The sequence below is a fragment of the Homo sapiens genome, chromosome 16 (genome assembly GCF_000001405.40).
Source record: "Homo sapiens chromosome 16, GRCh38.p14 Primary Assembly".
Lineage (NCBI taxonomy): Eukaryota > Metazoa > Chordata > Mammalia > Primates > Hominidae > Homo > Homo sapiens.
In genome coordinates this window covers 85,304,044-85,330,369 of record NC_000016.10, presented here as the reverse complement: position 1 = coordinate 85,330,369, position 26,326 = coordinate 85,304,044, and the positions used below count along the sequence as shown (strand labels likewise).

At 56.2% G+C, this 26,326-nt stretch overlaps 1 protein-coding gene, 2 long non-coding RNA genes and 1 other non-coding gene across 7 annotated transcripts in view, besides 11 other annotated features; 2 read left to right on the top strand and 2 right to left on the bottom strand.

Moving 5' to 3' along the window:
* The window catches only part of GSE1 (Gse1 coiled-coil protein), a 506,689-nt gene that overhangs the window by 345,831 nt on the left and 134,532 nt on the right, over positions 1 to 26,326 (bottom strand). The gene's annotated exons all lie outside the window — the stretch shown is intronic.
* Positions 1,452 to 2,019: an enhancer, noted in NCBI's record as "OCT4-NANOG-H3K27ac-H3K4me1 hESC enhancer chr16:85361957-85362524 (GRCh37/hg19 assembly coordinates)". NCBI's record gives its function as "activates a minimal SCP1, AML or CMV promoter by ChIP-STARR-seq in naive and primed H9 embryonic stem cells {active_cell/tissue: H9 hESC(naive and primed)}" and the evidence as "EXISTENCE:reporter gene assay evidence [ECO:0000049][PMID:30033119]".
* Positions 2,020 to 2,588: an enhancer, noted in NCBI's record as "OCT4-NANOG-H3K27ac-H3K4me1 hESC enhancer chr16:85361388-85361956 (GRCh37/hg19 assembly coordinates)". NCBI's record gives its function as "activates a minimal SCP1, AML or CMV promoter by ChIP-STARR-seq in primed H9 embryonic stem cells {active_cell/tissue: H9 hESC(primed)}" and the evidence as "EXISTENCE:reporter gene assay evidence [ECO:0000049][PMID:30033119]".
* Positions 7,789 to 8,319: an enhancer, noted in NCBI's record as "H3K4me1 hESC enhancer chr16:85355657-85356187 (GRCh37/hg19 assembly coordinates)". NCBI's record gives its function as "activates a minimal SCP1, AML or CMV promoter by ChIP-STARR-seq in naive H9 embryonic stem cells {active_cell/tissue: H9 hESC(naive)}" and the evidence as "EXISTENCE:reporter gene assay evidence [ECO:0000049][PMID:30033119]".
* Positions 8,320 to 8,850: an enhancer, noted in NCBI's record as "H3K4me1 hESC enhancer chr16:85355126-85355656 (GRCh37/hg19 assembly coordinates)". NCBI's record gives its function as "activates a minimal SCP1, AML or CMV promoter by ChIP-STARR-seq in naive H9 embryonic stem cells {active_cell/tissue: H9 hESC(naive)}" and the evidence as "EXISTENCE:reporter gene assay evidence [ECO:0000049][PMID:30033119]".
* Positions 9,601 to 10,110: an enhancer, noted in NCBI's record as "H3K4me1 hESC enhancer chr16:85353866-85354375 (GRCh37/hg19 assembly coordinates)". NCBI's record gives its function as "activates a minimal SCP1, AML or CMV promoter by ChIP-STARR-seq in naive H9 embryonic stem cells {active_cell/tissue: H9 hESC(naive)}" and the evidence as "EXISTENCE:reporter gene assay evidence [ECO:0000049][PMID:30033119]".
* Positions 10,111 to 10,621: an enhancer, noted in NCBI's record as "H3K4me1 hESC enhancer chr16:85353355-85353865 (GRCh37/hg19 assembly coordinates)". NCBI's record gives its function as "activates a minimal SCP1, AML or CMV promoter by ChIP-STARR-seq in naive H9 embryonic stem cells {active_cell/tissue: H9 hESC(naive)}" and the evidence as "EXISTENCE:reporter gene assay evidence [ECO:0000049][PMID:30033119]".
* Positions 12,213 to 13,008: an enhancer, noted in NCBI's record as "H3K27ac-H3K4me1 hESC enhancer chr16:85350968-85351763 (GRCh37/hg19 assembly coordinates)". NCBI's record gives its function as "activates a minimal SCP1, AML or CMV promoter by ChIP-STARR-seq in primed H9 embryonic stem cells {active_cell/tissue: H9 hESC(primed)}" and the evidence as "EXISTENCE:reporter gene assay evidence [ECO:0000049][PMID:30033119]".
* Positions 13,684 to 13,853: a silencer, noted in NCBI's record as "silent region_7804". NCBI's record gives its function as "represses an Ori minimal core promoter by ATAC-STARR-seq in GM12878 lymphoblastoid cells {active_cell/tissue: GM12878}" and the evidence as "EXISTENCE:reporter gene assay evidence [ECO:0000049][PMID:35858748]".
* Positions 17,403 to 22,922, top strand: LOC101928502 (uncharacterized). Its single transcript, XR_243488.4, has 2 exons — positions 17,403 to 18,827; positions 22,294 to 22,922. It is a non-coding gene; the product is annotated as an uncharacterized LOC101928502 (long non-coding RNA).
* LOC107984830 (uncharacterized) lies at positions 20,844 to 22,558 on the bottom strand. Its single transcript, XR_007065158.1, has 2 exons — positions 22,472 to 22,558; positions 20,844 to 22,208 (listed from the first exon to the last, which is right to left on the bottom strand). It is a non-coding gene; the product is annotated as an uncharacterized LOC107984830 (long non-coding RNA).
* Positions 22,473 to 22,767: an enhancer, noted in NCBI's record as "tiled region #9835; HepG2 Activating DNase matched - State 1:Tss". NCBI's record gives its function as "activates a minimal TATA promoter and a strong SV40 promoter by Sharpr-MPRA in HepG2 cells {active_cell/tissue: HepG2}" and the evidence as "EXISTENCE:reporter gene assay evidence [ECO:0000049][PMID:27701403]".
* Positions 22,473 to 22,767: a silencer, noted in NCBI's record as "tiled region #9835; K562 Repressive DNase unmatched - State 6:EnhF". NCBI's record gives its function as "represses a minimal TATA promoter and a strong SV40 promoter by Sharpr-MPRA in K562 cells {active_cell/tissue: K562}" and the evidence as "EXISTENCE:reporter gene assay evidence [ECO:0000049][PMID:27701403]".
* Positions 23,965 to 24,014: an enhancer, noted in NCBI's record as "active region_11270". NCBI's record gives its function as "activates an Ori minimal core promoter by ATAC-STARR-seq in GM12878 lymphoblastoid cells {active_cell/tissue: GM12878}" and the evidence as "EXISTENCE:reporter gene assay evidence [ECO:0000049][PMID:35858748]".
* MIR5093 (microRNA 5093) lies at positions 24,045 to 24,144 on the top strand. The gene has a single exon (NR_049816.1). It is a non-coding gene; the product is annotated as a microRNA 5093 (primary transcript).

Here is a 26,326-nt window from a genome sequence, read left to right as displayed (position 1 = left end):
CAGCTTCTCCAGGCCCCTGCGTTCCTTGGCTGGTGGCCCCCACCCCACAGCACTCCAGCTCCTCGGTCTGTCACCACGCAGCCCACTTCCTCTCCTGCAGCATCAGCTTCCATCACCCTCTTCTAAGGACAGTCACAAGGACAAACCAGGACATTCTGTTTCAAAGTCCCTAGCTCACATCTGCAAAGCCTCTTTGGTGAGGGGATCAGGACATGAGCCCTGGGGTCCCTGCTCGGCCCAGCACAGCAGGCATTTATTTCACAGACGTGGCTCTGCCCATTCCCCACTCCTGGCCGCCACCAGGAAGAACACGTGCACCTCGGAGCCCACCGGGGAGACTGCAGAGCACCTGGCAGGGGCATCTGCCAGGGGGCAGAAAATAAAGCAGGAAGCATGGGAGCCCCTGGAGGGCGGGGTCTTACCCCTGCCCCCCCACCAGCCTCTTGCCCCCTGCATCCCCCTAGCCCCTTGCCCCCTGCCCCTGATGCCTGGCCCTTTCCCCTCCTGCCCTCCGCCCTCCCCACACATTCCCTCCCCTCCCGTCCCCAGCCTTCTTCCCAGGCAGTCCCTGGAGTTACTGTTTTAATGAGTTCCTTGCCCTCTAATTAGCAGGTGCGGCTCTGAAAGGAAGCGCCTGGTGTTTACCCTGCGCGGAGCCTTTAATAACCAAGCCCAAGGAATCCTCGGCTGGCTCCGGCCTAATCCCCTCAGAACACCGGCGCTTAATGAGCCTTGGCACAGGCGAACCTTCTCCTGCCCTCTCCCCGCACCCCGCAGCCCCCCAGGGGCTTGTTGCTGAGCGCCTCTGAGCGGCTCCCACAGCCTGCGGAGACCCAGGCCTGGGGCCAGCGGGTGCCCGACTGAGGGTCCACCTGCAGGTGGCTCTGCAGCCCCCAAGCCAGCAGGGCACCCGGCTAATATCCTTCCAGCAGCCCGCAGCCCCTGGGGCTGGGGCTGTTCCAGGCTTAGCCGAAGTGGCTGACTCACACCCGCCCTATGTCTTCCCCACGCCGCCCCTAGCAGAGCTGAGGCCCTGTATTCACAGCACACGGGTGCTCCGAAGGTCCTTCTCCACTCACTTCACACACCAGCCCTGGAGGCAGCCAGCGTCCACCCCCATTTTACAGATGAACAAACTGAGGTGCAGAAAAGCTCAGGCCTTGGCTAGCTCCTAAAGGGCGATGCTGGGTTTCTAGCTGGGCTTGGTTTGATGCCAAGGCTGTGGCTCTTTCTGGGGGGCCCAGGGAGCTGTGGGGGAGGGGGAGGAGCCTAGGGCAGAGTTCAAGTGTTAGAACACTGGGGCCGCGGGGGTTCTGGCTCCACTAGGGGCGGGGCAGCTGACCTCACCCCTCAATCCCCCACCGAACGCCCCTCTTGGGCCCTGATGAAGGGTTGGGGCCCCCAGTCCTGGAGGGGCATCAGCCACCCTGCAGGCCCTGTCATCCTCTTCCTCTGCCAGGCTGCGGGGGCAGGGGTGGCAGGGGTGCAGCTGGAAGGTCTGGGTGGTCTCCTCTGTCCCTGTCCATCCATTCCACCGCGGGAGGCCCCGGGGCGGGGAGGCCCCGGGGCGGGGACGCCCAGCCGCAAGGCCTTGTCAATCACTGCAGAGGCGGAACCTGTGAGGACCCGGCAGGGGCACGGACATGACTACGGGGAGAGACCCAGCCCCGTTGTCTCTCTCCAATTCCCTGCCCCACTGCAGACCCTGCAGGGCCCACAAAGGGACCTGCATTCTGAGGAGGAATATTCTGGAACATGTTGTGGCTTTTTTCTTTTAAATAAATGGCTCTGCCTCTCTGTTGCTTGGGAAGCAGGGGCACCTCCCACCCCATTTTGTGCTGCAGTTGAATAGCCCGCCAGTCGGCTGAGAGCTTGAAAGGAGCCTGGAGTGTCTAGGCGGGCGGGGGAAGGCCTCCGCAGGCTTCCTTTGTTGGAAAACGGCTCCCTCCGGCCCCCGCTGTGCCTTTATCTGGCTCAGCCGGCTCTTCCTGCAGCCCCGACGCCTCTGAGGAGGTGGCTGGGGAAGGGGAACCCTACAGGCTGTGGGCAGACAGTGGCCAGGAGACTCTTCTCTGGGGTGACAGCCCCACCCTGGACAGGGAATTCCAGGCCCTTTCGCCCCGTCTGGGGGCTTGCTGTGGAGGAGGAGCGGAAAGGGGCCTGCCAGGCCTGGCCCCCCAACTCTGCTGTCGTATGTTCTGCCCTGGCCTGGTGAGAACGAGCTTCCTGGCATCGGCTGGGCATGAGCAGCCAAGCATTTATTGAGCACCTACTGCATGCAATGCTGTGTGGCCAACATAAGGAGGAGAGGCCAAAAGGCTGAGTGACCTTCTGGGACATGACCTGGGGGTCCACTTGACCACAGCCAGCTGGATTCATGCATGGCCAGGGATCTGTACCAGGCGATCTGGGGGTGGGGGGCACCAGGGCAAGGATGAGCCATCCGCCCCCCTACTCCAGGAATGTGGTATCAAGGAGGAAAGACAACATCCTCCCAAATAGCCTGTATATGACAGGCTGTGAGTCTGTGATCCTAAGAATTCACTCTCCCCCCGGGACCTCAGTTTTGCTGATCCGTAAAATGGGCATGTGGAAAGGGTCAATGGCCTGTATGAATCCATGCAGTCTTGACCCTCTATTTCACAAAGATGGAACAAACACAATGTGTGCCAGATTCTAGTTTCCAAAAATGGCCACAACAGTATTTCCCACCTGACATGCTCTTCCACAACCTTCTAGTTTTGTTTATGTTTTGTTTTGTTTTTCTGAGACAGAGTCTCGCTCTGTTGCCCAGGCTGGAGTGCAGTGGTGCGATCTCAGCTCACTGCAACCTCTGCCTCCCGGGTTCAAATGGTTCTCCTGCCTCAGCCTCTGGAGTAGCTGGGACTACAGGTATGTGCCACCATGCCCAGCTAATTTTTGTATTTTTAGAAGAGACAGGGTTTCACCATGCTGCCCAGGCTGGTCTTAAACTCCTGGCCTCAAACGATCTGCCCACCTCAGCCTCCCAAAGTGCTGGGATTACAGGTGTGAGCCACCGCATCCGGCCTTAGAACCTTCCAGTTTTGTCCCCATTCCCTTGGACCCGGGCAGGAGGAGGGCTCTGTGTCTGCATCTGCTAATAGCACGTGGTAGAAGTGGCGGGTGCCTTGTGGCTTTGGAGGCCAGATCATAAAAGTAATCCAGCTCTTTCTTTTGGGACACTGGTCTTGGGACCCTGCCACCATGTTGTGAGGAAGCCCAGGTTGCCCAGGGAGAGGCTCCCATGGAAAGAAACAAGCCCAAACCAATCTAGCAGCCCTGTGGTAGGTGCACGCACTGTCTTGGAAGTAGATGCTCCAGCCCTAGGGGAGCTGCCTCCCCTGGTGCCCTGTGGGGCAGGACCAGCCCTCCCTGCCGAGCCTTATGCAAATCACAGACCTGTGAGCAAAAACAGCGATTATGGTTTATGCTGCTAAGTTTGGGGTGATTTGTCACCGGGTAATAGACAACCGGAAGAAATGTTTCCAGGCAGGGACTGGGTCTTAAACTGATCGGGACCCCACAGCGTCTAGCACCTTCTAGGTGCCCACACGTGCTTGCTGATCACAGCTTCTACCCTGGACAGGAGCTGAAACCACAAAGTAAGCACCAGGCCATATTAGTCTGTTCTCACGCTGCTATGGCGAAATATCCGAGACTGAGGAATTGATAAAGAAAAGAGGTTTAATTGACTTACAGTTCTGTATGGCTGGGCAGGCCTCGGGAAACTTACAATCATGGCAGAAGGGGAAGCAGAAGCAGGCAACTTCTTCACAAGGCGACAGGAGAGACAGTGAGTGCAAGCAGAGGAAATGCCAAACTCATGATCACAAGAACGGCATAGGGGAAACGCCCCCAAGATCCAATCACTTCCCATGGGGTCCTTCCCAGGACCTGTGGGGTTTGTGGGGATTACCATTCAAAATGAGATTTGGGTGGGGTCACGGCCAAACCATATCACAGGCTAAACTCATTTAACCCAACAACAATCATCCCCATTTTACAGATGAGTTCACTGAGGCACAGACATGTTAATTAACTCACTTAAGGTCACACAGCCAAGATGTGGTGGAAGTGAGATTCAAACCAGGCGGGTGGCTCAGAGTCCTCCTCATTAACCCTTAGGCTTAACCGCCCCTCCCAGGTGGTTGTGATGAGCCCATATCCTGAACGAGCCAGGGGGGCACCGATTCCAGAGATGTATGACCCTTCCAGTCAAGGATCTTGTTAAAGTAGACACCGTCAGGCCAACTTTCTACCCCTGTCAAATTTTTCATATGAACGTATTTTTAAAATTGACTGAGCTGGGGGTGGTGGCTCACACCTGTAATCCCAGCACTTTGGGAGGCTGAGGCGGGTGGATCATGAGGTCAGGAGTTCGAGACCAGCCTGACCAACATGGTGAAACCCCCTCTCTACTAAAAATACAAAAATTAGCTGGGCACGATGGCATGCGCCTGTAATCCCAGCTACTCAAGGCAGGAGAATCGCTTGAACCCTGGAGGCGGAGGTTGCAGTGAGCTGAGATCGTGCCACTGCATTCCAGCCTGGGCGACAGAGGGAGACTCCGTCTCAAAAAAAAAAAAAATTGACTGAAGGCCGGGTGCAGTGGCTCACGCCTCTAATCCCAGCACTTTGGGAGGCTAAGGCAGGTGGATCACCCGAGGTCAGGAGTTTGAGACTAGCATGGCCAACGTGGTGAAATGCCGTCTCTACTAAAAATACAAAAATTAGCTGGGCATGGCGGCATATGCTTGTAGTCCCTGCTATTCCAGAGGCTGAGGCAGGAGAACCACTTGAACCCAGGAGGCGGAGGTTGCAGTGAGCTGAGATCGTGTCACTGCACTCCAGCCTGGGCAACAAAAGTGAAACTCTGTCTCAAAAAAAAAAATTTTTTTTTTTACTGAAAAATACCCTTTATCAGATCACAGGACTCAATTTTTGGTTTGAAAACCATGATCGTGACACTGGAAGAACTTAGAGGGACAATAAAGAGCCCCCAGAGGTCAAAACACAGTGCCCGTCCAGGCCCAAGGCCTGCCCCCCTCGCCACTAAAGCTTTTTAAGACATTGAGATCTAGACTGGATACGGCGGTTCATGCCTATAATCCAAGTACTTTGAGAGACTGAGGTGGGAGGATCACTTGGGGCTAGCAGTTCGAGACCAGCCTGGGAACACAGTGAGACCTCGTCTCTATGAACGATTTTAAAAAGTAGCCAGGTGTGGTGGCATGCACCTGTAGTCCCAGCTACTCAAAAGGCTGAGGTCCCTGGGCTCAAGTGAGTCCAGGAGGTCGAGGTTGTAGCAAGCTGAGATTGTACCATTGCATTCCAGCTGCAGTGACAGAGTGAGACCTTGTCTCAAAAAAAACGGATAAAAATAAAAATGAATTGGGATATAATTTATACATCACAAAAAGCACCATTTTAAAGTGTCCAACTCAGTGCTTTTTACATTTCACAATGCCGTGCAACTAACTCCAGAACTCTTCCATCACCCAAAACAAAACTCCATACCCATTCAGATTTATCCCCCTTTCCCCGACGGAATCGCCTTCCCCAGGCCCTGCCAGCCACTCATCCGCTTCCTGTCTCTGTGGATTTGCCTATTGGACATGTCACGGATGGCGCAGACCCACCCTCTGTGTTCGTTCCTTTTATGGCCCAGTCATACTCCACTCTCTGGGTAGACCAGATTTTGTTTATCCGCTCATCAACTGACAGCTTCTGTGCTGTTTCCACTTAGGCTATTACAAATAATGCTGCTGTGAACGTGTGTGCACAGGCTTTTGTGGAACCGATGTTCCGATGTTTTCTTTTTCTTTTTTTTTTTTTTTTTGAGAGGGAGTCTCGCTCTGTCACCCAGGCTGGAGTGCAGTGGCGTGATCTCAACTCACTGCAACCTCTGCCTCCCAGGTTCAAGTGATTCTCCTGCCTCAGCCTCCCAAGTAGCTGCGATTACAGGCATGCGCCACCACACCCAGCTAATTTTTGTATTTTTAGTAGAGACGGGGTTTCGCCATGTTGGCCAGGCTGGTCTCAAACTCCTGACCCCAGGTGATCCACCTGCCTCAGTCTCTCAAAGTGATGGGATTACAGGCGTGAGCCACTGTGCCCGGCCACCGATGTTTTCATTCTCTTGGGTACCTACAGTGCAGTAACTGGGTCCTCGGGCAACTCTAAGTTCATCATCTGAGGAGCTGCCAGGCTGTTTTCCATGGCAGCTGCACCACGTGCATTCCCAGCAGCTGTGCACCAGGGTTCCAACTTCTCCACGTCCTCGCCAACACTTGTTATTATCTGCCTTTTTAATTCCTGCCCCGTCATGGGTGTGCAGCGAGACCTTGGTTAAGCTTTCATGTGCAAAGGAATCGGGTGGTGCAGAAGCAGTTCACAGAAAATGCTCCTGGGCTCAAGGCAGATTCGGGCTCAAGGCCTTACTGGACTTGGAAGCTGTGTGGCAGGCGGCCAGATGACCAGCCACTCTGTGTCAACCTAGACCACAAGGCAGGACCCCTTCTCATCTAAGGGGGAACTCCTCACTCAACAACAATGCAGCACATTAGGGTGGCAATGGGGGAGCGTGGAAGTCAGCCTGGGGCCCCAAGTGTCTGCACAGTTGCCCCCCTTGGGGCCGGCCCTGGACACAGGTCTCCAGACCTCCCCCCACTGCTCAGCCTGGCCAGAATCAGGGGTGGGGGCAGTCACTGGGCAGAGCCTCTGAGAGTTGGCAGGTTCCCACCACATAGGCCTTGGGATTGGGGTCCCTCATTTCATGCCCCACCTCACCTCCCGCGAGCTACCAGGCTGTGCCATCCACCTGGCAACTCGCCCCCTCCTCCAGGCCGGCGACTTTCCCCCCAGACGCCCTGTCTCTCTGGGCCTGTCTCCCTTCTTCCAGAATTCAGCTCACCTTGGCAGCCTCCTGAGACTCTAACTCCCAAGGCCTGGTCCGCCAGTGCCGCTGACCTCTAGGCTCTCACCCTTTCTAGAGGCAGTCCAAGTGGGCCACTAATTCTATCTTGCCATTTCGTGGTCTCCAGCAACCCTCAGAAGGTTCTGGAAATGTCAAGGCTTTGGCACTGAATGCTGTCTCCCACCCGGAGACAGCACAAAAACGCTCTATTGAACCATGTGACCCAATCTTTGGTTTTGAGACTGCAGCCCTTCAAGTTCCAGGCCCACCTGAAATTGCCTCTCACGTCTTGCCCCAAGATTCTGTCTCCACCACGAACCACAAACGGTCAGAAACAACAAACAATGACGCCCTGTTCTGTTTTCCCTTCCAAATGCTATTTTGGGAGGTGACAAAGTAGGAAAAAGCATGAGCTTTTGACTCAGACCAACTGACATCTAGTCCCCGCAGGGTCACTCACCAATCAGCACTGACCCCGAAGTCGTCTGAGCCTCAGTTTCCTCAAAAGCAAAACGGAGGCTGGGCGTGGTGGCTCATGCCTGTAATCCCAGCACTTTGGGAGGCCAAGGCGGGTAGATCACTTGAGGTCAGAAGTTCGAGACCAGCCTGGCCAACATGGTGAAACCCCCTCTCTACTAAAAATACAAAAATTAGCCAGGCATGGTGGTGGACGTCTGTAGTCCCAGCTACTCAGGAGGCTGACGCAGGAGAATCGCTTGAACTCGGGAGGTAGAGGTGGCAGTGAGCCAAGATCACGCCATTGCACTGGAGACTGGGCGACAGAGCAATACTCTGTCTTAAAAAAAAAAAAAAAAAAAGCAAAATGGAGATAACAGCCCTTTGCTCAAAGTCACCCAAGAGGGCTGGGAACAACATCCCTAGAGCACGGCAGAGAGGTCCTGAACCCAGCAGACCCCTGCAAGTATCCACTGTTGGCTCACTGCAGTACAAACAGTCCCTTGGTCACTGCTTGCAAACCTCCTCTGATTAGGTTTATGTATTTATTTTTCTTTGCAACAAGGTTTGAAAGTGCAAACAGTGTGGCCAGTTACAATATTTCCAGAAGCCTCCGGGAGTTCTCAGCAACTCTGGGTGGGCTGCTCCCCTTCCCCCACTGCCACCTTCCCCCCCGCCCGCCCGGGGCTTTCAGGGTGCTGACCCACCCGGTACTATCAGACCCAGACTGGCCTCCAGGGATGGCAGAGGCCGCTCTGTTTCCTGGAACGTGTGCCATGTGACACTGAGCTAGCCGCTGGCAAGGCAGAATGTTGAACTTGGAAACAACACTGCTCTGAGCGCCTTGGAAGGTCCACCCAGTCCCAGCTCTTCTGACCTGCAAGTTGCTGGGTGCAGAGCCTCAGGCACCTTCCCACGCAGGCTCCACGCCAGCCCCTAGCAATGGTCACTGCCCAGGCAGGGAGGAGCCGCGGCCAGGCTCAGTGGGTGGACACGGCCCTGGCGGTCAGGAAGCTGGACTTGGGGTCTGGCTCTACCCCAGCTGGCTCAGGACCTTAGGCTGCATCTGCTTAGGTCCTTCTAGGAGCCTCAGTGTCCGAGGCTGTTACTCTAGATGTTCCAATCAGCCTCTAGATTCTTCCGTCAGTTACAGGCAGAACTTTTTTTTCTTTTTTTTTTTTTTTAAGACAGGCTCTCACTCTGTCACCCAGGCTGGAGGGCAGTGGCACAAAAGTCCTGGGCTCAAGCGATCCCCCTGCCTCAGCCACCCAAGTAGCTGGACTACAGGAGCACACCACCACACCCAGTTACATTATTATTTATATTAACAAAATTTTTTTAAGAGCTGGCTCTTGCTCTGTCACCCAGGCTGGAGTGTAGCAGCATGATCGTGGCTCACTGCCACTTCAAACTCCCCCGGGCTCAAATGATCCTCCTGCCTCAGTCTCCCCAAGTGTTGGGGTTACAGTTGTGAGTCACCATGCCTGGCCTAATTTTTTAATTTTTAGTACAAACAGGGGCCTCAGTACATTGCTGGCAGAATTCTTTTCGCCCTTCCTTTCAAACAAAAATAAGTATATAATTTAGAGAAAAGCAGACCAGCTCAGGCAGAAGAGGGGAGAAACCATGGAGTGGATCCCTTCTTCGCCCTCCTCTCTCCTTGTGCTGCAGCTTCTGAAACCCCTGTGCTGAAGAAATCATTACTTCAAGGACCCCTTGGGATTCCACAAGCCTGCACACTTGAGCTACACGAGCATTCACTCAGGCTACAGATGGAGTTGAGCACCTACTGTGTGCCAGGAACTGTTCTAGGACACCGGCAGAAGAGACAGACAAGGTCCCTGTCCTTCCAGTTGCCTGGAGGTGTCACAGACTGGCAAATACACATACAACATATAGAGGGCCAGGGGTACACAGGAAACTAAGGCGACCTAAATAAGATCGGGGTGATGGGGGCAGGGGGCGCAGAGGAAACTAAGCCACGCTAAATAAGACTGGAGTGACGGGAGTGTGATTTCTAGGAGGTCATGTGAGTAGACTCCTAGAAGAAGTGAGGAAGGGAGCTCTGGGTGTTCCGGGCAGGAGGACAGCAGGTACCAAGGCCCTGGGGCACAAGCATGCCTGGTGCTGTGGAGCAATAGCAAGAAGGCAGTGCCTCCAGGGCAGCCACGCAGAGTGGGGAGAAAGGACATGGGGGCTGGAGAGGTGGTGAGAGCCCATCCTTGGGAGAACAAGTGCAATGGCTGGAACAGTGTTCCCCGAGAAGTCATGCTGCTCAAAACCTCAGAATATGACCTTTTTTTGAAATACGGTCTTGGAAGATGTTACTAGTTAAGATGAGGTCACACTGGATTAAGTGTTTCTGTAAGAAGAGAGGATACAGGCCGGGCGTGGTGGCTCACGCTTATAATCCCAGCACTTTGGGAGGCTGAGGTGGAAGGATCACTTGAGCCCAGGTGTTTGAGACTAGCCTGGGCAACATAGAGAGACTCCATTTCTACAAAAAAACAAAACAAAACAAAACAAAACAAAACATTAGCCGGGTATGGTGGCGGCCCTGTCTGTCCTGGTTCTGTGAGCTCTTGGATTCACCAGGTGAAAACTGGGCGTCTGCTCCACACACCTCCTGGCCTCAGAGGAGGCAAACGGGCCTGGTGTTCTGCGTGAGCGAAAGGAAAACTGCTCCGGCCTCAAATGACACAGGTCGGCTAACTCATGCGCCGCCCACTCCCTCCACGGAGGGCGACCAGGGCCCTGCTGGGTGGGGCCACGGCTGCCCACTCTGCTTCCCACCCAGTCCCCTCTGGAGGCCCTTGGCCCCAAGAACGGCAGCAACATGGATTCCCCGGCCCCGACTGCTTCTCCTTGTTGCCTCATTTAAAGTTTCCCAGACAGATTTCTCCTGTGAAAATGTGGGGCCTGTCATTATCCATCTGAGAACCTGTAATTTGTTTTTAAAGAAACGCAACCCCAAGGAGAAGCGAACCGGCTGGGTAGGCGCAGCCCCAGTCTTTGCCAGTTGTAAGCCCGGGACCCAGGGAAAGCTTACCCATGGACTCAACAAGCATTTATTGAGCACCTTATGTTTGCCAGGCACCATGCTAGGTGCTGCCTCAAACGGCACTTCAGTTCAGTTCAAGGATGTTGTACTGAATGCGTACCATTTGTGAGAAGGCCTTCAAAGAAGGTCTAAAAGGTATAAGATGTAACACCAAACTGAAATAACACAGTACGAGGCAGAATCTGCAAATGCCCCCAAGAGAGGCCTCTAAAAGATGACAGGGAAGCTCAGAGAAAACAGAGTGAACTAATGCTGGAGGCGGTGTTCGAGGGCCCTATGGGCCCTGTTCTGGGTGGAGCCTCAATATGCTCATCTGTGAGATGGTCGCAATAATGTCTGCCCAGAACCTTGCCTGGCAACTGAAAAGCTCCAATGGGCTCAGCACAGGGACCCCTTCACACAGGGAGCTCATCAGCCCGACGCTCGCCACCCCACCCACTCCCGCTGGAACGGAAGGGTGAGGACGAGGAGGCTCTGCTGCCAGGGCGGACACAGGCTGAGGCCCAGGAGCTGGCGTCTCTCCTGCTCTGCTAGAAGAGCTGCCCGGCTCACTGCAGCCTGGTTACGACGGGACTCGATCCAGAGGCTTCCATTAGGACTCCCGCTACACTGTCCCACCCAGTGCCCTGGCACCGATCGCAAGTTCTGGGTCACACGCCTACTTTTCCAGAATTTTCTTCACAAATTTCTGACAACTGATGGTGGAAAGCTAGTGTTTTCATTGGCTCTGAGACCCTCAATCTACCGCCTGGGCATTTGCCTAAATGTCAAGAGAGAAGAGGAGGAGAAGGGAGGGGGTGAGCGATACTGAGGGCCTATGACATGCTGGGCCCCACAAGTTCACATCTAATGTCACCGCCACTCCACCCTTCCAAGATACAGATGATGCTCGCTTTCCAAAGGACACCAGACACCAGGTGATGCGCCATTCTTAGCACCTGGGTCCTCAGCCCAGCCTGCTTCTTCAGGACTCCGCCTTAAACACTGCCTCATCCATGTTATTAAGGGACCCAGGTCATTTACCAACATCTCACCCTCACAGGTTGAGTCAACAGCTAAGGTGGCCCAGGAACTGACAGTCCGGGAGGTCTCCCCGACCCTGTGTCTCCTGCGACACTACCTTTGGGGAGTCATTGGGGGTGAGAAGCTGAGAAGCCACATCCTCACTGGAGGCTGCTCTGGAGTCTGCCCAAGCAGCTTGATAGGGCTGTGCCAACCCCACCACCTCTGACGCTGACCTGAACGATGGCGCTGGCTCTACGTGTGCCCCACAACCACCACTGTTCCAGGTGCTTCTCACAAATCACTCATTTAGTTCCCACTATCGTCAGCCCCATTTTATGGATGAGGAGGCTGGGCACAGTGGCTCACGCTTGTAATCCCAGCACTTTGGGAGGCCCAGGAGGGAATATCATTTGATCCCAGGAGTTTGAGACCAGCCTGGGCAACATAGGGAGGTTCCCACTTTACAAAAAATTAAAAAAATTAGCCAGGCATAGTGGTGCATGCCTGCTGTCCCAGCTACTTGGGAGGCGAAGACAGGATGATCACTTGACCCCAGGAGGTTGAGGCTGCACTGAGCCACAGCTGCACCAGTGCACTATAGCCTGGGGCCCAGAGTAAGACCCTATCCCCCCATCCAAAAAAAGGGATAAGGAAACCGGGGCTCAGAGTGACCGAGTTACTCATCTTCCAGACACAGCCAAACTTCAAAGCGATGCCCTTTGAAGTTTAGAAAGGACTGAATCTCTTAAGGGGCCTGGCGGTGGGCACCGCATCCCTGGCCCCAGATCTGAAGCCTCCTGCCCACTTGGGCACAGGTCCCTGCCCCACCACCATGGGACGGCCTCCTCCCCTGCCCTGTTCAAACGTGGCCTTGTCCTGTGGCCAGATCTTTGCAGATGCTATTCTTCCTGACTGGCTTGCCAATTCCTCTCTTTTCAGCTTTCTAGAATGTTCCCAGTTCTTTTGAGAACCAACTGAGGCCCCACCTCCCCCAGGAACCCCGGGCTGAGGCAGATGTCCAAAACACCTGACGATTCACACGATAGTTTCCCTCTTAGTCTGGGCTCTCCCAGAAGCGGACGAGGCAAGGAGCTGAGCTCAGAGCTCAGGTCCCACACTTAGGAGGGGAGTGCTGGATACACTGGTGGGCAGCGCGGCAGGAAAGCGAATGAGCCAGCGCAGGGTGCATGAATGCTCACCAGCGTTCACTGTGGGCACCGGGGCTCAATCTTGCCAGGGGCCTCGGGGGCTGTGCAGGGCGCATGGATGCCCACCAGTGCTGACCGTGGGCACTGGGGATCAATTTTGCCAGGGACCTTGGGGGCTGTGCAGGGCGCATGGATGCTCACCAACACTCACTGTGGGCAGCAGGGCTCAGTCCTGCCACGGACCACGGGGGCTGTGCAGATCAGGCCTAGGCTATACCACCTGAGGGGCTGGGACTCGTAGGGGGGTTGTCCTCACTTCCTGGGGCTGCTGGCTGAGGCTGGTCCTGGGGGCATGAGTCTGCAGCACCGCTGGAGCTGGAGGTAGGAAGCGTGGTGTGCACAGCACACCAGAGAGCCAAGAGGAGAAGGAGGGCTATCGACGTTCTACAGGAATGAACCAGCCAGAGGGATGCATGCCTGCTGTCAACAGCCAGGAGGTCCTGCAGCCCTGACATGGAGCAAGTGTTAGTCCCGTCCACACCCAAAGGAGGTGCCTGATGTCACAGTCACTACAACCAGACAAAGGCCCCGTCTTGTCCCCACGTGATCTTCAGAGCCAGGCATGGTGCCTGCCCAGCACACAACAGGTGCTCAGTAAACGCTCATGGTTAAATAGACACATGGCAAGATGGAGCAGAGACTTTTACGGGAGGGAATCAATGTGCCTGCCTCTGCCTTAGGCCCCAGCAGTGCAGGGACGGGGCCTGAGACTCGCTCAGCAGCCCACCCCCAACAGAGGTGGGTTCCCCAAAAGTGCCAGGGCATCCCTCCCGGGGCTCCTGCTCTGTGGCCCACTCAGTTTTTCCACTCTTTGAGGCCGTACCCTGTGCCCTGAGGGGCTGCAGCCACGCCGGGCGGGGTTCCCTGAGCCCAGGTTCAGCCCCTGACACCCCATCATCCTGACAGGGAGACGTCTGCTCCCAAGACACACAGGAAATAGGCCACAGCACCACTGTGGATGGTAACCCCTGCGGAGCCCCATGGGGGTTGGGACTCGATCTACTGCAGAGGCCACTGGCTGATGTGCAGCCCCCAGTGAGGACGTCTGCTGTCCTTGCAGGTGGCCTGGTCCGTGGAGGGCAGAGCACTGACCTCCACTGCCCCCTACTGGCCACGGGCAGTCCAGTCCCCTTACCCCTGTGGACCTCAGTGACTCCTCCCCCAGTGGGAGAGACCTCAGATCAAAGCCTGCTGGAGCGCTCTTCACCGGGCAGAGAGGACACCCGGACCAGTGGCTGGGAGGTGTGGGTGCAAGATGGGCTGGTCCCTTACGGCCACCTGGGCCACACGTGGCTAGGGAGCCCTCGAAACGTGCCCTGTGCAGATTGAGACGTGCTATAAGCAGACACACCGGATTCTGAAGACTTGATAGGAAGAAAGGAATCGCTCTCTGACAATTCAACATATTGATGACATGTTGAAATGATAATATTTTGAATATATTAGGCTAGAGAGAATATATTAAAATAAATTTCACCTGCTTTTCCTTTTTAAAAGCGTGGCTAGTAGGAAACTGAAAATGGAATAGGTGGCTGGTGTCGCACTTCTGCACCGAGTTACTCAGGGAGCTCGTGGCTGCTATCAGGTTTCTGGTAAATTCACTTCGCCCTTTGGAAACAGCAGTCAGGCCAGATGGCCTCTGCCGTCCATCGGGTGGGACATTCGATGGCTCTGAGCGCTGACGCAGGAGCGGCCAGAGGAAAGCCCAGCAGGGGCACCATGGGCACCAGCCCTGCCCCTCCAGCCTGGTCCTGCTCCCACCTTCACCCCCCCTCCCACTAGGGCTTCACCGTGCTCTGGCGTGGGATGCAGCGGATACACTTGCTTGGTCCTTTCCCAACCTGGGTTTGCTCCGAAGCCTTTATCCCCACTACTCAGGGTTGCCAAATACAACAAATAAGAATACAGGGTGCCCAGTTCATTTCGGATGAACAACGAATACGTTTTTAGTATAAGTATATCCCAAATACTGCATGGGATAGACTTTTATACTAAAAGCGTGTTCGTTGTTTATCTGAAATGCAAATGGAACCGGTGCGTACTCCTCTCTTGCCTTACACACGGTCTCAAGTCTACACACACCAGGCAGGCGGCTCCCCCAGGACACAGGGGTTGGGTTTTGGTTACTCTTGTCCCCATCACTGTCCCACGGAATGAACGAGGGAGCCCAGCACTTGCTGTAGGAGGCAACAGCCAACCCGAGGCCCTCCAGGCTCTGCCCGCTCCCAGGCACTCAGCACGGGCTCCCTCTCAGGGCCAATCCCCAGTCCTGACCCCCAGGGCTCTGCAGGATCACCATCCACCATGGTACCACGGCCTGTTCCCTGCCTGTTTGCCATCTGAACCCTATTTGTAAGCAAAACGTCCTTCAATCTGATGTGCGTGCAGGAGGGGCAAGTGAGACCGGACTGCAGGAGAGCAGGCCCTAAATGCTCCTGTGAAGACGGGGCAGAGCTGTGTGGCCTCCCGCTGAGCCTCCCCCCGACCCCTGCTCCCTCAGCCACCCCTTTGTCTCCTTCCTTGTCAAAAGATCACCCTGCGGTGGTGCCCTCAGAACTTCTCAGAGGAAGATGTTAAGGCCCACTGTGTCCAGGGCGGGCAGGGTGGGGCACTCCCAAATATTTCTAAAATAAGTGACAGATCTTCACTGGGCCTTGGCTTTGTCCTGGGACATGCTGCAGATTTTCTGAGCTGGCCCTGATTGCAAACACTAACCAGTTTTCTTCCCAAGCATCTAAGCATCCTGGGTGTTCCTGTGAGGTCAGCAAATGGCAAACGCAGGGCCGTGCCAGCTTGTCACTTGATCAACACACGGCCCAGAATGCTTAGCTGGGAGGGTCCCAGGATGGTTCTGTCTCCTCTCCAAGAGGCCTTGGAAGATACATGAGACACAGAGACCTCTCCTGGGCCTGCCCCCAGGGAACCTTGCCTGGGAGATGAGAAACAGCAGGAGAAAACAAGCCTGGGGAACCTAGGGCCTGCTGCGGGGGAGACGGCGGAGCTCCAGGCTTCTAAGCCAGAGACCCAGGCCCGCCATGCATGGGGAGCCTGCCAGGGGAGCAGGTGTTCAGGAAGGAGTGGGGCGAGGAAGGAGGGAGCCTGTGGGTGTGTTCGTGTGTGTGCACATGCTCACGTGTGTGTGTGTACATGCTCATGTGTGTGCATGCATGTGTGCACACACGTGTAGGGGACAGTGGGATGACCAGCCTGGCCACCTCCAAGCCCTGCAGCCTCACCAGGCCCCACTGTTCCTCACATCCCTTCATCTGTCCCACAGCCCCACACAGATGCTGGGCTGGGACATGGCATCCTGCATGCTTCACCTCTACCCGTGAGACACAAGCTGAAAACAGGCACCCAGCGCAGACTCAAGACCTTTCCAAGGGACTCCTGGGAGGTGGCAGCATTCACGTCCCCCTATTTTGGCGAGACGTGTGTAGGGTCTGGCTGGTTTTTGTGGCACTAGCCGGCAGAATGCCTGCCTCCTCCTTTCCTTTCCTTCTCACTCCCCGGGCTCTGTGAGGCACTGCCTCAGGGGAGGGAGGCTGGGGAAGTGACAGCCCTTCTCTGAGCTAGGCTGTGTCACACACACACACACAGAGCTGTGTCACACACACATACAAATGGCTATGTCTTATACACACAAACAGCTGTGACACACACACAAATGGCTATGTCTTATACACACACTAGGCTGTATCACACACACACACATACACACACTAGGCTGTGTCACACACACACTAGGCTATGTCACACACACACACACACACACACACACACAGAGGCTCAGACTAGTGCTGTAGCACATCACCCCAGGATGCATTTGCTGTTCATGTATCTTGGGTCCTCCGGCCTCCCAACTCCCCAGTGGGCATGTACGAGGGTCTCGCAGCCCAGGGTGGACATTGCCAGCTCAGCCCAGGCTGGCGGGGAGCAGAAGCCAGGCCTTGGCCACATGAGCTGCCCAGAGGCTCCCGGACAGCTCTCCGCGGGCTTCCTTCCCCACAGCCTGTTCTGACCGCCCAGACTTTGGGCCTGCCTGAGCAGGCTCCAGAATCCTCCTTCCCCACCCCCCAGCCTAGGGCCTCTCCAGCTGTCCCAGGGGCACTAGCAGGGCAGGAAAACCTCTCACAGCAAAGGGCAGGGAGGGGGCAGGAAGGGGATCAGGGGGGTGGGGGGTGGTAATATTCTGCTTGGCTTCCTCGGGGCCAACATGAAAGGGAAAAGGGGCCCGTTGTCTGCAAGAGAGGAGGCCGAGATGGCCTGGCCCTGGCCCAACGGGACAAGCCAATCCGAGACTTCCACCAGGGTGGTCTCGGGGCAGGGGCAGCCCTCCCCAAACACGGAATCACGCTGGACAAGGTCAAGCCAGGTGTCTCGAGGACCTTGAGGAAGACACGCAGGACAAGGGGGTCTGCCCAAGGAGAAGCAGGGCAGGTCTCACCAGGAGCCTCTCGGAGCCCTGACCCCACGCAGGTGCTGCCCCCGGTCCATGAATGCTCAGCTGTGGTCAGAGGGACAAGGGACCCCAGCAGGCCAGGGGCCCCACCTCTCACTTTCTGAGACGGTTCCCTGGGAGGCCCCACAGGCTTCCCTCCTGCTGTGGCCAGGGCTGAGTGTGCACTGGAGTGTCAGAGCTGGGGCCTTGGCGAGTATCAGCCGGGCAGTGGCTCCTCCTCCTCTCCCAGGGAGGCTGCCCGCTCCAGGGACCTGCAACCCGGCTGGCCCTGAGGCCCGCTTCATCCCCTGCCCCTTGGCCTCAGCACTTCCGTCACACCTGCCCAGGAGGCCATTCAGGAAATCCACCAGCCTAGACAGGGTTGGACAGTGTGGGGAGAGGACACTTCAGCTACTCCCCTCTGAGGCCAGTGTCAACCTGGGTGGACGAGACCTCCTCCTCCTCCTGCCCTGCTCCTCCTCTCCTCCTCCTCTCCTTCCTCCCCCTCCTTCTCCTCCTCGTCCGCCTCCTCCTCTCCTCCTTCTCTTTCTCCTCCTCTCCCTCCTCCCCCTCCCTGCTTCTTCTGTAGTGAATAGCATCCCCTCAAAACCCATGTCCTGCTGGAACCTGTGAATGTGGCAGTCTGGAAAGGGGGTCTTTGCAGATGTCAGGAAGTTAAGATGCTCTAAATCCAGCCTAAATGCACCCAAATCCACGGGGCTCTAAATCCACTAACTAGCGTCCTTACAATGAGAGAGAGATTTGGGGACAAAGAGTGAGGAGGCCACGTGAAGGAGAGGCAGAGATCGGGGCAATACAGCCATGAGCCAAGGCACACCTGGGACCAATGGGAACTGGAAGAGGCAGGACGGGTCCCCGAGCCTTGGAAGGGAGGGCGGCCCTGCCAACAGCTCGACTGTGGACTCCTGGCCTGCAGAACCGTGAAAAAGTGAGTTTCTGCTGTTTTAAGCCGCCAATTTGTGGCACACTGTCACATCAGCCTAAGGGCACTCAGTTGTGTTTAGGGTTTGGGGGTAAGTGTGTCCCCCCCCCCCCCGCAAGAGGATCAGAGAGACCACAGAGGGATTGCAATGTTCTCTGAGCTGGGCACACGGGAGGGGATGGAAGCGGTGGGCGAGGGGGCCAGCAGGAGAGTCTGAGCGTCCTGTTCTTGCCCCAGGGCTCTGGGGGTGCAAGGCAGAGAGGCCAAGCCAGCCTGGGCCACCCTGGTCCCAGAGGTCGAGCTGGCCCAGCTGCTCCAGCAGTGTGCACGGACACCGCCCACATCTCCAGACATGAGGACAGTGGTGCGGGGCTGGGGCTGGGCAGTGCTGGGCCGGCGGAGGGAACCCGGGAAGGCAGGGACTTCACAACCCTCATGAAACACAGACGCTGGGGTCTGGGGTGAGAAGGACTCGCGGCTGGGGCCACAGGTCAGACAGTGGGTCCCCATCACCAGGACTGCAAGGTGGTATGTGGGCATCGGCAGGTGGGACAGATGTCCCTGGAGAGCCTGCACCACCTCAGGTCCTAAGACATCTGGGAAATGAAGCAGGCAGGAGGTATCCAGGGCCCCAAGAGAGCCACAGACAGAGCCACCAGGCCCAGGTACACAGCCCAAGGGGCCCTGGAGAAGGACCCCCAGGGGCACCGAAGCAGAAGCCCATGGAGTACCCCAAGGAGGGAAGAGAAGAATCCGGAAACAAAGCCTCGGGGAAGGTGAGCACCCCGGCACCTCCTTCCCTCCCTCCCTCCCTCCCCAATGTCCCACGGTGGGAGGCAGCCGAGGGCTCCGCCCACGTCCTGTCCCCAGCAGCTCTCTTGTGGTGCCACGAGGGCAGGTTGCCTCCGATGCTGCTGCTGACCTGGGCTGTCTGCACCAGAGCTGGTTTAGAACTGCACAGTCTTGGGTCCTGCCACCACCGTTTCTGCTCTAACGACGCCCACCCTGTCCAGGGAGCCCGCTGCCTGGCAGAGAGGATGGCACACCCTCTCTCCGTGGCTAGGCTCTGCCCCTTTGTGCCCACATCAGTGCCATGGGATTCAAGTCTCAGCTCTTCTGCTGGGGGCACCCTGGGAACCAGGGGCATCCGATGGGCCTCTGGAATTTGGGACCAGCCCACGGAGCAGGCTGCCCTCCCCTCTGCCGTCCTCCACGGCTGTCAGATGCCCTGCCTGCTGGAGGACGAGATAATCCTTCTTGACAGAGCCATGGCCATTGCTGACGGCCGCGGAAAGGCGGCTGGGTTTATATTTAGCCTCAAACTGCTCCTGCCTGCCGGTTGCTGAAGGATGCGGAGCGGCGGGGGGCCCTGCTGTCCCCTCTACTGTGCCTGTGGGTGCCCCCCTCCATCCCCAGCCCCTGAGCAGACACACAGGGCTTTGGCTGTGCACTGCCTTGCAGCCCACCTGGCCACACTTGCTGGACCCCGGGTGGGTGTTGAGGGGAGGGGCTGGGCTGGGGAGGTGGGTGGGGGGGGGACGCAGGCCAGAGGTTGCTCCGAGCACCTCAAGTGGACCTTGACTGGGTGCGCTCCCCTTCCACATCAGGCTCCATCTCTCCCTGGTGGGCCCCAGCGGGCCCTCCTGCTCCCTCCCTCCCTCCCTGCCAGCCTGGGATGGCTGAGAGAGGATGCCCAGGTGTCAGGGAGCAGGGAGAGGGGCTCAAAGGGAGAAGCAACAAGGACCAAGGGCAGTGGGCAGGTGACAGGATCTGAGAGGTGGGGGAGAAGGAGGAGGTGGGAGGAGGGGGGAGGGGCAGAGAAGAAGAGCACGGCAGGGGAGGGGAGGGAGGGAGGAAAACAGGAAGGAACCGCTGATCAGAGCCACTGTGAAAGGAAGGCAGCCGACAATGACATTAATGAGAACGACAGCTTAATAAAGTAGCTACTGTTTCTCCAGTATCGCCAGCTGGTTCACACATATTAAGGCGCTGAACCTCACAAACATCCCATGCAGTGGCCACAGCGACTGTTCCCATTTCCAGATGTGCAAAGTGAGGCCCACAGCAGTTACACGCCTCACGCACCCCTCCCGGGTCCTCTCCTGCCACCCAGGCAGGCTGGGTCAGGGCGTGGGGGCGCCAGCGGGAGCAGGTGGTGGGGGCAGCTGGCAGGAGGCACAGGCCTGCGTGGTGCCCCTAGCCCTAGCTGAGTGCCAGGCGGGACAGGGGTGAGGCCGTGCTAAGTGGCTTATGCCTGGGCTTATGCCTGGGCTCGGGCCGACTGACAGGCGCTGGATTAACAAAGACACGCTCTGTTCCCAGGCAGGTCATGTGGAAAGCACAGCCGTGACCCCGCCACTTCTCCTTTTTTATTTTTTTGTAAGAAGGGATGTCTGTTCCTGAGCTGGGGCGTGAGGGGGTGGCAAGGGGGCGCCCGCCACTTCGCCAGCTGTAACCACATCAGCTGCTGCGGGCACAATGGATGTTTCTTGGCCGCGTCCACCCTTCACCCGAAACCCCAACCCCAGGCCGCCAGCCGGCCCAGACCCAGGGCTCAGCCTGCCGCTCGGCTCTGCAGCACCGCGACAGCACTGAATGCCAGCTCAGACAGCAGCTGAGAATGGATCATTAGCCCCAAATGGCGTCTGCAGAGCAGGAGAGGTGGACAGGTCCTGGCACTGTGGAAGCTGCTCCCGGCCAGATCCGGGGGGTGGGCCACGTGCCTCGAGGACGCTATTTTGGATGTGCTGAGTTAAATAACATATCATCTCAAAATTAATCTCACCCGGTTCTTCTTATTTATTTATTTATTTATTATTGTTTTAGAGACAGGGTCTGGCTCTGTCGCCCAGGCTAGAGTCCAGTGGTGTGATCATGGCTCATGGCAGCCTCAAACTCCTGGGTTCAAGCGATCCTCCTGCCTCAGCCTCCTGAGGAGCTGGGACCACAGACAGGTGCCACCATGCCTGGCTTTTACATTTTTTGTAGAGATAGGGGTCTCACTACGTTGTCCAGGCTGTTCTCAAACTCCTGGCTTCAAGCGATCCTCTAGTTGGCCTCCCAAAGTGCTGGATTACAGGTGTGAGCCATGGCACCTGGCCTCTTTTTACTTTTTAAATGAGGCTACTGGACCATTTAAAATCCTGTATCTGGCTGGCATTCTGTTTCCTGTGGGCGGCCTGGGTCGAGAGCTTCGCTAGTGCAAAACCGGCTGAGACCAGCAGCTGCAGCAGCCCCTCAGAGCCTGTCAGAAATGCAGAGACTCAGGCCCCGCCCCATCCTGTGGAACTGAATCCCAATTCCCAGGCCAATTTTGGAGCCTCCACGGCTGTCCTTGTGACCTGTCACTACCTGAATGCAGACCTCCCGTGCATCTGCGCTTCTGAAAAGCCCCAAGTCACACTCTAAATGGCTTGTCGCTGTCACGTCATCCGAGATAGCACAGTCCCAAGCTGGGAGGAATTTCTCCTGTGGGTCATGGTAGTGGCAAAATTGGATCTGAGAAGGCTGAACTTGACCTGGTCTCTCCAAAATGGCTTTTGCTGCAAACCTCTCTGATTCAGACTGAAAGGAAGGAAACAGCTGTCTTGCAGAATTCAAGAACCACTGACAGAGCGAGAGCCTTCCCCAGGCAATGTGTTTTAAAAATATATGTTCTTCTTTGTGGCTATACACAACATAAAGCCAGGCTTCCCTGTTGAAAATCTTTCTGGGGTCAGTTTTAATAAATAGATGAGAAGGTTTCCTGTTCAGAGTGGATTGCAGGAGCTATGGTGAGAGCTCCTTTCGAAGTCCCCGAGGAGTTTGTTTTCTGAAGCAGTTTAAAGGAAGCCCTCCGTATTCCTGTTTGTAATCAGTATTGCGCTTTATGGCTTAAAATGCACACTGATGTTCGAGGATTGCCAGGCTCCAAAACAGAAGCTTCTCTGTTTTGATCCAGAGCCTTAAGAAGTAAAAGGCGTTCTCTGCCCTGGCTGTCCCAAAAGGTTCCCTCAGCGTCCTCCCGGAGGCTGGACTCGGTGTCCACAGAATGGTGGGAGTAGTCATCCTTTCCTGTCCCCAGCTCTCCCTCTGAGATTCCAGCTAGGTGGTCTTCAGAGCTGAGGGCTTCCTTTAGATGTCTCTTTGGAATTCAAAGAGAAGAGCAGCTCAGCGTTCTAGGTGAAATACAAGGAAACCGAAATGCAGACACTTACTCGGAGTCTTCTGAAGTCCATGACCAAGTCCCTCCTTTGCCCACAGAACCGCACCTGACCTCCCTCCTGCCTGGTGGAAGCTGTCCACGCTGCCGGCACAGCCCCCGGAGGGAAATAACCAAGCCCGCCCCTGAGGATCTAGAACCTGCTATCAGCTTCACAGCTGAATCCAAATTCCCAAACTCCCAAGTACTGGTGTACAGTGAAGGATTAACTGAACTCACAGAAAGTCTGACCTTTCCCCCGGCTCCTGGGGCGGTCACCTCTAGGCCCTTGAAGAGTCCCGCCTGATGAGAGTGTCTTTGTTTACCTGAGGGCTTAGCCACCCTGAACAGCCTATGCTAATGATAAGATTCATGGTGGGGCCTTGAACCACAGGGCATCAGCTTGACGTGCGGAGGTGCTGGAGGTTAAGGTCAGTCACATGGTGTCAGCCGTGCCCACGTGACCAAGGCCCAGCAAAGACTCTGGACACCGAGGCTGGCGGAGCGTCCCTGGTTGGCAATGCTGTGTGCCATCACACGCTGTTGTCATGAGGAGTTAACACTGTCCAGGACTCCACGGAGAGGGACAGCTCGAAGCTCTGTGCTGGGAACCCTCCTGGGCTCACCCCATGGGTCCCTCCCCTTGGCTGACTTAAACCTGCATCTGTAATAAACTATAACTGTGAGTGCAGCTTTCGGCTGCCAGTTCTGCGGTTCTTCTAACAAATTACTGAAACTGAGCGCTGTCCTGGGGCCCCCTGAGCTAGGCAGGTGTGTCAGAAGTGAAGGTGATCTTAGAAGCTGCCTTGGAACGTCGCAGGTGGTTAAACCAGAGAGAACATAGAAAAGAAACAAGAGAAAGCGGTGGCCACTGACAAGGAGCCTCCAGGCCTGACACGGAGTGTACCTGCCTCTCCACCATGCAAACCATTTGACAACCTCAGGTCAGCAGGTAAACGAGGCCTGAGCTTCCATCCCACCCCACCCCACCCCACCCCCACTATCGGGGGCGGGCAGCCGGCTGCAGCCTGTACGTGTGACCAGAGCACAGAACAACCTCTGCCCAAACTCAGCTGCTGGCCCAGCCTCGTGGACACTTCCCAACCTGCCCTCACCTGCAAGGAGCTTGGGCTGCACCCACACACCTGGGTGGCTTGTGCTGAGCTTGGGCACAGCGCTGGATGTGTCACAGCAGAGCTTGTGCCCCAGTGCATAACAGGAAGGGGACACCCAGGCCTGTATGCTCCCGCCTTTTATGAACAGGTTCAAACCGTTTGGGGCCTCTGAAAGGCCACTCTCCTTTCCGGAAAATGCTCAGCCTAAAAGTCGCTCTGTCAAGTCCACAGCTCCTTCCAATCTGCCTCCGTTTGGCCATACCCAGGGCTGGAGGTGGCCCGCTCTTATTGGCCTCAAATTGCTAGAAACAGCCAGGCATGGTGGCACATGCCTATAGTCCCAGCTACTCAAGAGGCTGAGGTGGGAGGATCGCTTGAACCCAGGAGGATGAGGCTGCAGTGAGCTATGACTGTACCACTGCACTCCAGCCTGGGTGACAGAGGAGACCCCATCTCTAAAACAATTTTTAAAAAAAGGCTAGAAAGTTATTTCCCCTACTGACTCAAAGCCTTTCTCCTGCAACTCCTACCCACAGTCTGAGGGGAGCCCTTGGCTCTGACCGGAAAAACTCTACTTACTCTCAGCACAACTCACAACAGAAGCAACGACCATGTGACCACGCCCCTGTGATGACGCAGCCCCACTTCCCTCAACTGCCGCTCAGGCACCGTGGCCTCCTGCACTCACGCAGACCTGACCCGCCAGGTCCACATGCCAGAGTGTCAACGTGACCCAGCCAGCCTCCTTCCTGAGCTAGGAGGATTAGGAAATGAGGCTGGCTAGGAGCACAGCCAGGGCTGGACTGTTCTTTAGGGAAACTGGAGACCAATACATTCTTGGAGGAAGGTTCTCTCTTTCTAGAGCAGGAGTTCCTAACCCTGGCTGCAACCAAATCACCAGGGGACCTTTATTCATTTATTTTTCTATTTTTTCAGACAGGGTCTCACTCTGTCACCCAGACTGGAGTGCAGTGGCACGATCTAGGCTCACTGCAACCTCCACCTCCCAGGCTCAAGTGATTCTCCCGCCTCAGCCTGCTGAGTAGCTAGCATTACAGGCACGCACCACTACCATCCGGCTAATTTTTGTATTTTTAGTAGAGACGGTGTTTCACCATGTTGGCCAGGCTGGTCTCGAACTCCCGGCCTCAAGTGATCCTCTTGCCTTAGCTTCCCAAAGTTCTGGGACTACAAGTGTGAGACACCATGTGCGGTCCACCAGGGGAACTTTAAAAAATACTGATGCTGGGCGGAGTGCAGTGACTCACGCCTGTAATCCCGACACTTTGGGAGGCCAAAGCAGGTGGATCACCTGAGGTCGGGAGTTCAAAACCAGCCTGACCAACATGGGGAAACCCCGTTAAAAATACAAAATTAGCCAGGCATGGTGGTGCATGCCTGTAATTACCCAGCTACTCGGGAGGCTGAGGCAGGAGAATTGCTCGAACCCAGGAGGCGGAGGTTGCAGTGAGCTGAGACTGCACCACTGCACTCCAGCCTGGGTGACAGAGCAAGACTCCGTCTCAAAAACAAAACAAACAAACAAAAAAAAAAAAACAACAAAAAACTGATGCTGGCTGGGCATGTGGCTCATGCCTGCAATCCAAGCACTTTGGGAGGCTAAGGCAGGGGGATCACTTGGGCCCAGGAGTTCGAGGCTGCAGGGAGCCATGATTGTACCATTGCACTCCAGCCTCGGCAACAGAGACCCCACCTCCAAATAATAATAATCATCATCATCATCCTGATGCCCAGGGTCCATCGTCAGAGATTCTAGCTTCGCGGACTGGAACGAGGCCAGGACATCAGTATTTTGTGGAGAGCTCTCCAGGTGATTCTCACGTGTAGACCCTGCTCCAGTCATGGGGGTGGGGAATCTGGAGATGGCCCAGGGAGCTGCTTGCCTAGGGCAGAGCCCACCAGGACAAGCTGCGGCCCAGGATGGCATGTGCCCTAGGGGAATGGGAGGGCCTCTCATAAGGAGTTGAGCTGGGCTGGATGGGCTCCTAACAGGATGTGGGCTTGTGTTGGGCGGGCCTGAGAAGGGTGTGGAAGTGGGTCCCACACTGGGTTGGACAGTCAGGAAGCAGGGGTCACTCAGTGCTGGGCTATCTTCATTTTTTTTAGGGGCTCAAAAGGTTAAAGCAAGGTTAGAGTTGTCACAGGTAAAGGAACAGCAATGAACAACGCTGGTTGAAAGAGGGGGACATTGAGTCATTCTGTGGCTGCAGAGCGGCCTGGTCGCTGTCTTATCCCCAGTGAAGTCGAGAGGGCCCTGGCCTGTCTCTGCCATCTTCTGCAGGTGTTATTTATGTTCAGGCAGGAACATCACGGCCCAGCTGCCAACAGGTGGCTTTTCACGTTCTCAGCTGACACCAGGTTTGGTGGTGGACTCAAGGCAAAAGGGATGCCCCACCCCCCCGCCCCCGGCTTGGCAGCTGCCATGCAGCTTTTCAATCTCAAAAGCTCCCCACTTCCCTTTCCTTTCTGAAGCTACACGTTGGGTGCTTCTCCTGGCATGGGAGAGCCTGAGCTCCACAGAGCTGAGGGCACTGCCCCTGGCGGGCGGGCTACCCTGCCTCACCCACAATGCCCAGGAGTCAGCTGGGGCCCAGCCCCCACAGAATGCAGGCACCCAGCCCCTCTGCTAGAGAGCCCCGGCCCCACCGAGGGCCTCTCCCCACCTGGCTGTAGCCAGGAGAAGAAAAGGGCAGGAGGTCAGTAAAGACACCATGCCAGGGGTCTACTCCCAGCTCTCCACCACGCAGCCGAGTGATCGATCCCTTCCTTTTCCTGGGACTCAGTTTCCCGGCATAAAGCAGGACGGCTGGCTATGTCTCTGGGGCCCGTTTGCTCTGTATTCCCTGGCAATGGGATGCGGTGCAGAAAGGCCACTGGGCAGCGATTCTGTTCCCTAACCATGGAGAGACACACCAGGGACCTCAGGAGGCCAAGGGGCTCTGTCCTGCGGCTTTTTCTG